This window comes from Homo sapiens, chromosome 8 (assembly GCF_000001405.40).
Source record: "Homo sapiens chromosome 8, GRCh38.p14 Primary Assembly".
Lineage (NCBI taxonomy): Eukaryota > Metazoa > Chordata > Mammalia > Primates > Hominidae > Homo > Homo sapiens.
The window spans coordinates 103141412-103155638 of record NC_000008.11 but is presented as its reverse complement, the minus strand read 5'-3'; the positions used below and the strand labels follow the sequence as shown (position 1 = coordinate 103155638).

Below are 14227 nucleotides of genomic sequence, written 5' to 3'. Positions count from 1 at the left end.
AGATTCTCCAGCTGCTAGGAGAGTTAGCCGCTAAAGGATCACAGCTGAGTGCCTCTCCAGGCACTGCTCCTGTGGAAGGAAATGACCTTACCCAAGGTCACACCTACTTGCTAGGGGAAGACTGCATCCAGCGCCTGGCCGATACAGGGTAAAAAGGCCCAGTCTTCTCAATTGCTGAATGGCCATCCCAGCTCCAGAGCTCCCCAGGGCATCAGCTGAAGCCCCTATTACAACAGCCATTCCACTCCTCCCTCTGCCCTGGACTGTGCCCCTCACCCTATTAGAGAAACTGGGATGCTGACTGAATTATTATTACATTAGAGAATTAAGAAGTTTTCATTAATTTTTAGGTGTGATGATGGTATCATGGTTATATATTAGTTTGAAGTATATGAAATTGCTAATATTACACTATTTCAACCTACAAAAATAACAAAATGGTCCAATCTAATATCTTTTTGGTCCAATCTAATAGATATGGTCCAATCTAATATCTTTTTTAAAGAGTCCCAGTTTATTAGAGATTCATACTGAAGTATTCATGGATGAAGTTACATGACTTGTGGAATTTGCTTCAAAAATGTTTAATTGGCGAAGTGGAATGGAGGCAGAGATGAAACAAGCTTTGCAATATGTTGATAATTGTTGAAGCTGATGATGGGTACATGGAGGTTTATTATACTATTCTCCATATATATTATATATATATATATATATAGCTTGAGATAGGTAAGAGGCCCACATCACAGGTGGTGTTACTAGAGCTCTCTCCAGTAAGGGTTTACCTCAGAGTCTGTTTCTTGGCTCTGTCTTTAAGAGTATACAGTATAATAGCAGAGATAAGTCACAATCATAAATAAGAAAACTCAAAAGGGAGTAAGTGTCCTAAATGGTGTGTGCTATCAGGGAACACATAACTGAAGCAGAAGGGCAGGAGCAGCAGGCTTTTGGGGTGACAGGTGGGCTGTGGGATCAGGTGGGATGCCCTTTGAGGCACCTGATCCCATTGCCCCACCCATCACCCCAAAGGTTGTATGGAGAGGCTGGAGAGAAAGCCTTGAATTCCATACTAAGACATTTGTATTCAGTAGATAGTGGGAAATCATGAAAGGCTTTGAGTGGAAGAATAACACAATAATGATCCCAGCTGTACTTGGGAGTATTTACCTGGCAATAATGTGAAGGGGATTGGAGTGGGAGTGACTGGGGGTGTGAAGACTAGTCCAAAAGTTGTTGCAAATGTCTAGGTGAAAGGCGGTGAGGACAGAAGCTAGCAATCCATGAAGGGGCTGGTGTACAGGAAAGACCACAGGGCTCAGAATGAGACAGACCTGAGTTCCAAACCCCACCCCACTGCTCACAGCCCGTGTACATTTAGACAAGCCATCCCACCGCTCTGACTACCCCCTTCTGTAAAATGGAAATAACAGAGTTAGCTAATAAATCTGCAAAGCCCGGCACATGCTGAGCACCCAATTAATGGAAGCCACACCATGAGGTCGTAGCTGTGTTCGTTTGTGCTTGTACATCATCACTTATCACCCCAGCAAGAAAGTGTGAGCCTGACTGCTATGAAGACTGCCCTTGAAAAGTGATTCTTGGAGGTAATCGTTTAATGAGGCCTCGGTTTCAAACATGCCAGTTGTTTATTGAGGTGCTTAAGCCTGAATCATTCCTCTTAGGAAGGGTGCACAGGCGGTCTCTGCTTCCATTGTAACCGCTGCCATGCCCTGTTGTCATGGTGACCAGTTTCCCAAACTGCCCTGCTATTTTCTGCAAGCCTTTCCAGTTTCTTAACGCCCTAAAGTCCACAAGCCCTAGAGACAGCAGCAGGTTGGGTTTTTTGAACTTCCACAGAAAACACTGTCAACTCTTTAAATTTGCCAGTTGGCTGCGAGCTGCTTCTCCAACAGAAGCTCCCAGCCTGAGCAGCAGTGTGACCCTGCACAGCAGACACCCACAAATGTTCCCACTAACTGGAAATTGGTGCCATGGAATATTAGCTGGCACATCAGTCTCTGGCTGGCATTAATCTTGCAGGAAAATAAGGCAGAAGACAAGGGAATGTCCACCATGCATTTCACGTACACAGCACAGTCTGAAGTTAAAAGACCATTCTAAAAGATTAAAGTTTAAGGTATTGCATTATTTTTAAAAATTATTTCAATATTAGCATATGTGGTTTTTCCAGAGAATGTTCACCTTATGAACTTACTTGAAACATGAAAATATTAAAAACAATATTATTATTGTTGTTACGGCAAAATTGTAACACTAGCAATCATGTCACCTTGGTTTCTGGCAGAACTTCTCTCCCTCCTCACTTACCTAATTCCTTTCCCCCTTCTTGTTCCTGGAAATCTTCTCTCCTCTCTGACCACAGCTATAGGATGAAAGAAGTGACCACTCTGCTGGCAGCCTGCCCAGTATCTGTTCTCCCCATTTTTCCTTTGCCAAGAGGACCCTGATACTTTTAGGGTAGCTTGAAAGTTCCCTGTGTGGAAGGAAATGACCTCACACAACATCACATCCCCTTGCTGGGGAAGCCCACATCCAATGCCTGGTCAATATAGGGTAAAAAGCTAAAAGTTTTGAGTTCCTAGACACCCTTGTAGCCCAGAACACCTACATCATACACTTCTGACCAATAAGACCCAAGCAAAGTTTACTGGGTTTGAGGAAAACTGTCATTTTACAGATAAGGAACAGATCAGGCAGAATGCCCCTTTCTGCCCGTCTCCTTCTTCCCATTTGAAATAAGATGGTGCAGCATCTCGCAGCCATGAGGATGAAATCCACACACTAAGGATGGCAGAGCAATAAAGCCAAAGGAGCCCAGCTCCTCCACAGTGTCCGTGACTGGGTGTGGCCGCCGACCTCCAGACCTCTGTGCAGACCTTCCATGGGCTAAATCCCATTCCTGGAGTTGGTTTCTGTTCAGGCAGCCAGATGCAATCCCTAACTGGTACAAAAGGTGTGGAGGGTTCCCTTCATTCAACAAACATCCACCGAGTGCCTACTCTGTGCTGGGCACTGTTCTAAGCACTTGGACTGTAACAGTGGGTGAGTCCATCAGATCCTTGACCTCTTGAAGCGAGAGAGTCAAGAAATAAACAGTAAACGAACAAGACAATGACAGGCAGTGGTGTTAGGAAGGAAATGACCAGATGGCCACTGGGGAAGGCTGGTCTCTCTGAGGAGGTGACATCTGAACTGAGAGCCAAAGGGTGAAGAGGAGTTAACCACACAGAGGGGGCGGGTGTGGGGAGGAAGCACATTGCAGCAAGTGTGAAGGCCTGTGACAGGAAGGGGCTCCATGTATTCAGAGAACAGAGGGGAATCAAGCGTGGCCGGAACACGCTGAGCAAAAAACAGAGCAGAGTAAACAATGAAATCATGCTGGAAAATCAGCAGGGACCTCGTCATGCAGGCCCCTGGAGGCCAAGGAAGGGACTGGGATTTTATTCTACACATAGTAGAACAGGAAGCTATCAGAAGGCATTAAACAAGAGAGTGACAGGACCTGACATATGTTTTTAAAAGATCGTTCTGCCTATGACATGAAGAATGAATTGTCAAGGGTATGAATGGAAGCAGGCTATGGCAGATGTTCAAGTGGAAGACGGATGTGGCTTGGGCTTGGGGAGGGCCCATGGAGATGCAGAGTAGACCTTCATCCAAATGGAGCTGCCTGTGAGGTTCCCGTATATGGTTACAACAAGGGGCAACCTTGTCAGTGCACTTAGAATTCAAATGGACAGACTAGGAGGAAAGGATCGCTAAAGATGTTTAGAAATGCTCAGATGGCAAGAAGGATGTATGCTGGGTCACTGGAAGGAAAAATGGGAGAATTCACGGCAAGTCTGTGATTTTTTTTTTTATATTCAGAGGGAAAGTATAGGATAGCATCAGGGGCTATTATATGGGGTCTGTCACCGCATATTAATGAGGAATGAATAGAATTGCTGAGAGGTGGTGAGATCATTGTTCTAGAGCATGAATTGCTTATAGGGGCAATCATAACATGCATGACTTTTTCCAGAAATGCTGGGCAGCTCCAAAACAAGAGTGTAAGGAACAGAGGGGAAGGGTGACCCAAGGTTTGAGATTGGCATGACAAGCCTGGTGCAAGCGTGAGGATGTGAGGGGATCCTGGCTGCTAGAATGCACAACACTGAAACACTAAGCCCTTTGTACTTGTGAATGCATTAATTCTTCGATAAGTCCCATCCTACAATGTGGAAACTGAAACCCAGAGAGGCTAAGAAACTTGCTGAGGGTCACACAGCTGATAAATGCCTGTTGTTAAAATCAAATTCCTAGGCCGGGTGAGGTGGCTCACACCTGTAATTGCAGCACTTTGGGAGGCCAAAGCAGGCAGATCACGAAGTCAGGAGATTAAGACCACCCTGGCTAACACTGTGAAACCTCATCTCTACTAAAAATACAAAAAATTAGCCGGGCGTGGTGGCAGGTGCCTGAAGTCCCAGCTACTCGGGAGGCTGAGGGAGGAGAATCGCTTGAACCCAGGAGGCAGAGGTTGCAGTGAGCTAAGATTGAGCCACTGCACTCCAGCCTGGGCAACAGAGCGAGACTCCATCTCAAAAAAAAAAAAAAAATCAAATTCTTTAACATTGCAACTATTATATTATCTCCAAACAAAGTAGCAGGGAGGGTGATGGATGAAGAGAGCAGGTTGAGGCCCAGGGACCCGAGGTCATGATCCTTGTTAAAAGCTGGCTCACTAGTTGGGGAGGAAGTGTATGAAATTGTAAACAGAGACCGGATCTGGCCGGGTGATCCTGTGGGTGTGGCTGTATCAGAATTCAGGATAATGGCTTAGAGAAGAAGGTCAAGAATCCCTGGGTTGGATATCCAGGCCAAAGGGCATCAGCTTTGCCTAACTGCCCACTAAAATGCCTGTGAAGACATAGAAAAAGACCAAGACTCACAACATCACCACAAGTGAAGACTGGTAGGCAACCTAATCCCAGAATCTAGGAGAAGCTGGCATCATTTGTAAAGCAGATTGTGTTAGATTAAGAAAAACCTACCCAGACTTTTGGTTTTGCTTCATTACACAGAAGCCACATGGTGAGATGTAGGCAGACATTAGGTACCTATCCCATCTGACACAAAGACCTAGAGCTGGAAGCCTATGGAGTGGTACCAGCCATAGCTCTGGGCAGCCAACCTGTCTGACCTCAAGGGCATTTGAGACTCAGAAAGCTGGTCCCTGCACACACACACACACAGACACACCCAGCCATACACACAGACACACAGACACACACACACACACACAGCCATGTTTCTATATCCATGATATGGTTTGGCTGTGTCCCCACCCAAATCTTATCTTGAATTGTATCTCCCACAATTCCCACGTGTTGTGGGAGGGGCCAGGTGGGAGGTAATTGAATCATGGGGGTGAGTCTTTCCCATGCTGTTCTCATAATAGTGAATAAGTCTCATGAGATCCGATGGTTTTATAAAGGGGAGTTTCCCTGCACAAGCTCTCTTCTCTTGTCTGCTGCCATGTGAGATGTGCCTTTCACCTTCCATCATAATTGTGAGGCCTCCCCAGCCACATGGAACTGTGAGTCCATTAAACCTCTTCTTCCTTATAAATTACCCAGTCTCAGGTGTGTCTTCGTCGGCAGCATGAAAACAGACTAATACAACCCATAAAGAGACTAAATCCCAGAAAACAGCTAGGAAAAATATAGAACAGCATACTCAGCCTGAGCCTGTTGTGGGGGCTTGAGGGGGAGGTAAGAGGGAAACATGGAGGAATCACCTACAGTAATTACCTGGTATGTAATTTGCCTGAATTCAAGTATATTTGCCCAGTATTGAAAGAAAAAAAGAAAAATCCCTTTACTTCTCCATGACCTTTCCCCCTTTCTCTTCCTCCATTCAAACTAGACTTGGGCTCCCACTACCTCCATATAGTTTCCTAAATACAAAAATGAACAAATATAATTTTTCTTGGTTTTTGAGCTTCCAAGCAGTTTGAGGAATTTTTCCCATCCCCCCATCCGGAACTTTAAACATCACCTTCACGTATAAGATGCAAATACAGCATCGTCTTCATGGGACCTGAAAGATGAAACCTAAATGCTGAGAGAGGCATTATTTTCCTCTGTGTGCTTTTTCTATGCTTTTTAAATGTTTAATTAGGAGCATGCACTGCATTTGAAACCAGAAAAAAATATATGATTCTGCCTAAAGACTGTTCCTGTTTAATGGGCCTGTCAGGTGACTGGGATGCAGGTGACACCTGGGGCACCTCCTGCAACCCTTTCTATGGAGATGGAGATTGGAGCAGCACGGGCACTCAGCACAGGGAGAGGGCAGTGTAAGCACCGCAGAGCTGCAGGACTCAGCCTTGTAAATGCTAGCAGGAGGCTCCCACGCTAAATGGTTAATATTTTCAGAAAAGCCCAAGGCAGATGGGGTGGGGGGAGGGTACTACATTCGTGCTTAGCAGCACAGCACAATGGACCCTGCCCTGAATTCAGAAACAAGAGACCTGAATTCTGATCCTAGCTCTCCCACTTCCAAGCTGGTGGCCTGGCTCAGTCTCTTCATCTCACTGAATCCCAGCTCCTCATCTGGCAAGTGATGAGAACAATGGTTTATGAGGTTATTTCGGAGGGTGATATAAACTAGTGTCAAAAAGAAAAATTCTCACATATAGTAAATGCAAATAGTAGATACAAATAAATGCTATTTGAATCTAAACAGCCAGGAAATAGATCCAATCTCAGAAAAAAGTGTGAGGAAGTAACAGTGGAAATCCGTCTCTCTTATTATTTCCAAATGTTCACAGTGTTAGTGCTCATAAACACACTTGCATTAGTTTGCTAGGGCTGCCATAACAAAGTGCCACAAACCGCATGGCTTAAACAACGGAAACCTGCTGTTTCCCAGTTCTGGAGGCCAGAAGTCCAGGACCAAGATATCAGCAGGCCGGTTACAAAAAACAAACAAACAAAAAAAGGCAGAAAGAATGAATGAGACCTACTATTTGACAGCACAATAAGGTGACTATAGTCAATAATAACTTAATCATACATTTTGAAATAACAAAGTATAACTAGATTGTTTGCAACTCAAAAGATAAATGCTTGAGGTGATGGATACCCCATTCTCCATGATGTGCTTATTTCACATTGCATGCCTGTATCAAAACATCTCATGTGCTCCATGCATACATACACCTACTATGTACCCACAGAAATCAAAAATGAAAAAAGATATCAGCAGGGTTGGTTCCTTCTGGAGGCCCTGAGGGAGAATCTGTCCCCTGCCTCTCTCTGAGCTTCCAGTGGTTTTCAGTGGACTTTCCTTGATGCTCCTTGGCTGGTGGCAGCATCACCGGTCTCTGCCTTCATCTCCACATGGAGTTCTCCCTGTGTGTCTCTCTATCTCCAAATTTCCCCTTTTCATAAGGACACCAGTCATTCTGGATTAGGGCCCACCCTAATGAACTCATTTCAACTTGATTACCTCTTTAAAGATTCTCTTTCCAAATAAGGTCACATTCTGAGGTACCGGGGTAGAGAGGGGGTTAGGGCTTCAACATGTGAATTGGGGGAGACACAAATCAGCACATAACAACATTCTAAAAGAACAACATTCTCAAGAGAGATGGCTGTGGTTGGGCATGAGACAGAGTGGGAGTCAGGCATGTGAGGAAGCAAGCGTTCCTGGTAGCCAAGCTAGCAGGAGCTATATCATGATTGGGCTCAGGGTAAACCCCTCGAGTCTGCTCTGCAGAGGAGAGTAAATGTGGCATATAGACTGGCCAGAGAGGCTCTGAAGGAGTCTTTATAGGGATAGGATTTTGCAGCGGAGGCCAAAGGTCTGCTGAGAGTGTCTCGAGGCTGTAGGCCTGACATGGGAGGGCTCCTGGGATGAATGGCACAGCACCATTGTCCGAGAACAGGTTTAGACACCCAACTTCACAAGGGCAGAATGGCCTTATCAGCAGGAAGATGCTATGGATCACAGGTGCACAGATCCCAGGGTGAAGGTTGGACCTCCAGGAGTCCAAACCTGAGGGATTGCTGAGTGCAGAATGAGCCAGGAAAAGACCCCTTTCTGACTCAGAGAAGACTAGGTTCTTCCCACCAGGGCCTATTAACCGAAGAAAAAAAAATCTGCAATGTTTTTTGCAGAAAAAAAAATCTGCATTTATCCTTTGAGTTACATACAATCCAATTACACTCTTTAAATTATTTAAAAATATACAGTTGAGTTATTATTGACTATCGTCATCCCATTGTGCTATCAAATAGTAGGTCTTATTCATTCTTTCTACATATTCTGGAGGAAATTCTGGAATGCACTTAGGATACTACTACACCCTGCAGTGGAGTCACCTTAAATTCATCTTTGGCTAGGGTTGGAATTGTTTTATCTAATGTCCAATGAAGACAAGGTTCAATGGACTGATATCTAAGACAAAAGCATCTAAGATGAGACTCAGGAAAGAGGTTATAAGAATGACAGACTAAGCTTCATTTGCACAGCTAGATCATTCATTCATTTATTCATTTTCACAGTCATTCAACAAATGTGTGGAAGATGCCAGGCATGCAAATATCAATCATGTGATCCCCAACCTGGAAGAGCTCACAGACTAACTAGAGAGACAGAGGAATGACCAAGCCCTGGCAATGCAGTGTGACAGGTACCATCACTAGACTCTCAAAGTGTCTGGAGAGCCAATGGCACAACATGATACTCTGCCCAGGAGACAAGGGCCATGGGAACATGAGGCTGCCTAAACCTTTACAAACTGCCTAGGTTTGTTACCACTTGTCTCTTGCAGTGATTTTAAGAAACAGCTTATAACAAAAAGGCTTGTGTTTGGCAAAAGGGGTGTAAGGAAGGTGGGGATGTTTTCTTACTGTGCAGCCCATCAGACAGACAACAAAAAGTTGAGCAGAGAGAACTGATGAGGAAAGAGAACATCATCTCTGGGGTCTACAAGAAGAAATTGACAAACAGAAGTTTTAGATTTATTCATTTATGAGAAGTTACTCAGGGTCCTGATGTAGCCAGAACAGCGTTAGGTACAGGGATAGGACTGTGTGTGAAATGAAACCTTATCTAACCCAACAGAACCCTTGCCTTACCAAACCTAACAGTCATCCTTGACGGAAGCAGACATTAATCACTAGTTATTCAAAGATAGAACCACAAGCGGTAACAGGTAAGTCAAGGCAGCTGGGGTGTGGGTGGAGGGGGTTTATCCACCAGGAAGCCCTGGCTGTCCTCTCCACAGGTGCTCTCACTCTCGGGGATGGAGTCAGGCCAGCTGGGCTGCACTCCTGTTCCTCTCCAGGGTGGGAGGGTTGGCTCGGACAGTCCCCCTTCCTCTGCTGGGCTCCTGCAGGGGTCTGTATACACACTGACCCCTCCCCAGGCAGAAAAAAACTGCTTAGTTCCTGAATGCCTCTAATGCTTTTCTACATGCCCTTCTAGTATGGACCATGGACAATGCTGACCTGAACGGTGTCCACTTTTATGTTTTTCTTCCCTATAATAGTAACTTCTTCAGGTCATCTTTGTGCCAAATGTCTATTCAGTGAACAAAAGAGCAAAAAAAGATGTCTTTTATCTTATTCTGTCAACACAGAGAAACAAAGACCTAGAATATTGTTTTCATAGCTCTATCAAAATGAATCAAGGTCAGCAAATTTAAACGTTAAACTGAAACCAATAAGATGAAATTTAACAGAAATAAATGCAAAAATTCCTTATTTGGGTTACTGAAGTCAATTATACCAATTCAGGATTCATAAGGAAAGAAATTCATTCATTCAACAAACGTTTATTGAGCGCCACCTACGTTCTAGTCACTGTACCAGGTGCTGGGTACATAGCAGAGAAAATACAATGTCCTTGATGTCATAAAACTTAAATTTGATTATAAAGAAAGATCTAAGGATTTTAACTAATCATAAGCTTAATGTGAGTCTTCAAGGTAATATGGCAACAACAACAGCAGGAAAACAAACAAATCCTAACCTGATTTTACATGCACCAAGAGAGGTTTGTTCAATGACCATATCATAGCACACCTTGTATTGCCCTATGCCGTTCAGCTGACATCAGTAGCTTGGAGTTAGCCATAGGTCCCTTGTATCAAGAGGGACTTTGACAAACCGAGTAGTGTATTTAGAGAATGTGGTCAGGCCTACCTGAGGTGTGAGAAGTGATTGAAGGAACTGCATGTATTTGACCTGGAAGACCAATGGTAAGAGATGTGACAGCCATCTTCAAATATTGAAAGAGTTGTCTGTGCAAGACTTGATCACATGGGTCTGGAGTTCACCGGGTAGAAATTACAAGGAAGCAGGAAGAGTCTCACAGGAGAACTGCTTCATAAAGTTATGGGAAAGCCTCCTTCCTTAGGGAAAAGATATTCCATCCTTAGAGATGATGCAGAAGACAATTGTGCTGTCTGAGATCAGAGTAGAATCAAGAGATCAGACTTGACTTTGAGTTTAGTGAACTGTAAAATCAAGAATTTCATAGCATATCCCCTATTAATCAGGAAGGCAGTATTTAGGAGTAGAGGCTTTGGAAATGGATAGAACTAGATTCCAGGCTGGAACTGGGAAAAGTTACTTGCAGACTTCCAGCCTCATTTCCTCACTTGTAAAAGGAGGGTGGCTATAGTTCCTGCCTCGTTCCTGAAGTGAGGATTCAATGAGAAAATTCAAAGTGCCCAATAAAGCACCAGGCCCCAGTAAGTCATTAATAAATGATGGGTAATGGTGATATTAAATGCTGTCCATTTTATTTGACTATCTTTCAGTTTATTTAGGTAAATCATTTTGCTGTCTGTAATTCTGCAAACCTCTATTATACTAAGACAATGATTTAGCAATTTAAAAATGTAAAGTACAAGTCCTTTAGAAAGTTTTGAAATGTTTTCTCTGGAGAAATTAGAAAAAAAGTGTGCTTAAGGATGCAATTTTTGGGGCTTGTGATTACACTGAGATGAAGCTAGGAAGTTATTAATGAATGGAATGACTGAGCTAGGTTGGGTCATGGCAACCTCAGAGACTTCCTTTCTCCTTGGAGACCCCCACCAGGCAACAGAATTAAAAATCAATCCAGCAGACTGATTTTATGAGGATTAAATTATGTCAGACCAATTTAATTTCCTTCTGTAACAGAGGGACAGACTTTGGTGACACAGGAAAGCAATGGATATCACATACCTTGGCTTCAGCTAGCTTTTAAATTCTAGCCTACGTAACAGTCAAATCTAAAAAATTAATTCAATTCCATTGAGTAGTGGAGATGATCTCCAAAAACAGGAACCACAGGCTCAGGATCATTTTTTGAGTAAGAAGATGCAAGAAACCTTCTTCTTTGTGGAACTGGGAGAAAAACATGCCCCCTCCCTGCAGTGAAATTCAGAATTCATTCAACAAATATTTGCTGAACACCTGTCATGTGACACACCCTCAATCTGGATTGGGCTAAGAGAAACACAAGTGAGATTTAAAAGCAGATATGATTAAATGGGACTTTTCTTGGGCAGACATGTTTGTGGAGTTGAGGTTGTGGGTTCAGGGAGGCTACAGAAGAAATGGAATCGTTGGGTTGGGCCAGGTGTTTGAATGGAGTAGGGTAAAGTTGGGGAGAACTTTTTAAAGAGAAGTTGTGCGATCAGAAAGGCCGTTGGAAGAATTCAGGCTAAATTGATTCAAGTGGGAAAACCTCAGTAGCAAGTACTGCAAAGAAGAGGCAGAAGGGGCTCTAGGAAGAGCTGACAGGACGGAGGACAGGTTCAGACAGAGCATCCATTCATTCTGAAAACTTTTACAAGTCCCAGATGTGTTCAGCACAGAAGATGCAAAGATGAATTAGCTTCTCCCCTAGCCCTCAAAAGTCCTGAAGTAGCCAGGAGAAAAGGTGGCTTCAGTTTGACACCAAAGGAGAATCACTAAGGTCCCAGAAAGAAGGGATTCTTGGGAGCTGAGGGTAAAGTCTGTGAGTGGTTGAAGGAGTGTTCAGATGGGGATGATTCCCCTGAGAGTCTCATTTGACTCACGTGGCTGACTTCCAGAGACCTTCTCCAGCTCTAGAATTCTAGTAGTGAAGCCATTTTTGTTGATTTCACAGTCTGGACTCTCCTGAATCTACTGGCTCTTTCATTTACTCCTACCCACCTCTCCCATCAGAAAACAACTTCTGTAAACAGGAAAAAGTGGCATTCTGGCCTCCTATCACAACGCAGCCACTGGGGGCTGTTAGGTGTCCCCCAGCAGCTTGGGAGTAAAATCATGAGTAAAGCACTGGCAGGGGGTGGGTGAGGTGGAAGTGAGGGGGCAGAGAAGATGAAAGGAATACAGAATCCTGGCCAGTCTCCCAGGGTGGCTGAAACCCAGGAGATCTGTAGCTTTCACGGATGACCCATTCTGACTAAAGATGACCAGCTCCCAGTCTGAAAAACCCACAGAAGTCAAGCCATTCCCAAAGGCCCTAGGGAATGCCAGTACACCCCCAAAGAAGGCCTTGATTTAATCTTGGTCTTCAGAAATATCCCTCTCCCCTGAGGCTAACAGAAATTCCCAGGGAATTAAAATGACCCTGCCCATACAAGCGTCTTGCCAATTTCAGGGTGCTGTCCTGGGGCTGAAGTGGAGCTTCTCCTCTGGAGGATGCAGGCCTTCAGGACCACCTCTCTGGCAGGGCTGGCCCATGTTTGGCAGGGTACCATGAATGAGTGTGTCTGTCCCAGGCCCCACCTGTTGCAGTGACCAGATCTCATGATGGATGGGATATGAATTAGTATGGCAGAGTAATAAATCAAGGAGTGTCAGGAAAGTTGTGAGGAACATGTATGTACATATAGAGCCATCCCATAATAACTCTTTCATACCCATACATATGCATATACGCACATACACACACACACCATATACTCCCAGTCACCACGGCAACCATTTCTTAAAGCTGTACTTACGGGGTTTTGGTTGTTTTTTATTATTATTTTTTTCATGCTAGATCTTTTCACCCTTATTTCTTCGGAGTACATCTCTGGCCTTTGACTCTCTGCTGAGAAGTACCATACCTCCTTGGGAAACCCTGTCACATCTAACATTTACCAGGTCCCTCTAAAAGGCTCATATCTATCCTCATGCTGACACTGAATTCAGCCAACACACCATTTGGTGACTTGCTAAAAGCATTGGCAATACAAAATAACCATTCTGATTGCCACTGTGAGTCAGAAAAACTGGAGACAAATATAGTGTAATGTATTGTACAGCTTTCACAGACAGTCCTCAATTTTAAAATAAAACCAAGTCACAAAGTTAATGTGGAAAAGGAGCCAGCTTTGGTCCTTAAAAATGGAGAAACCTATTCTTGATTAAAGTGACAGCTCTATTTAGTAGGCATGGATTTAAGATTCTTAACCTTGTAAAAGTAATTCGCATTTCCTTCCTCTTCCATATGTTATACATTATGCTTCAAATTAACCCTATTTTCCATTTTAGATTTCATTATTCAAAAATGCCAATAATATCAGTGGGTGAAGAAACACTTAAAACATTTTTATCCAAATATTGACCTTGCTTTGGACAACATCCATGTAATAAGTAGTGAGATTTTTTCCTTTTAATGTCACCAATATGTTTATGATTAAAGGTCAGTCTGTGGCAACAGTTTGCATCTCTGCGCTATAATTACTTGTTCTGCTAAAAAATAAAAAAATAAAATAAAATAAAATCCTGACTTATGACCTGACCAGACAATTCTTTGCATCTCCTTTTATCAGATTTCTGCTGGATGAGGAATGACCTAGGCAAGAGTATTTAATTTATAGTCAAAATCCACATGTGTGCCCTGCCTCCTGCAAAGCATTGGGACACCATAGGGTAGGGAGAGAAGTCCTTTGCTATGGAACAACTGCTCCAAAAGTAACCTAAAGTGCAGAACTAGCGATGGGGCGGGGTGCATTTATTTTGACCTAAACTGGGATTCTGGTCTTTGAAGCCCGCGAGTGGGCTCATTTCCTAGAGGGAGAAAAGGGGAAGCGACAAGAAAGACTCCACCCAGGCGATCCCAGGCAGGCGCCTTGTGTATAAATCCAGGGAGAGAGGGGCACCAGGTGGCCAATGGATGAGAAGTCACCCGGCTGGGTACGCAGGTGGCCAGGGGATGGCAGATGGGCCAAAGCGGGGCGGAG

The 14227-nt window shown here is 43.9% G+C and overlaps 1 protein-coding gene and 1 non-coding gene across 4 annotated transcripts in view; both read right to left on the bottom strand.

The window, feature by feature from the left end:
- Positions 1-14227, bottom strand: part of BAALC (BAALC binder of MAP3K1 and KLF4) — an 89581-nt gene that overhangs the window by 74667 nt on the left and 687 nt on the right. The window lies entirely within an intron of this gene.
- MIR3151 (microRNA 3151) lies at positions 950-1025 on the bottom strand. The gene has a single exon (NR_036106.1). It is a non-coding gene; the product is annotated as a microRNA 3151 (primary transcript).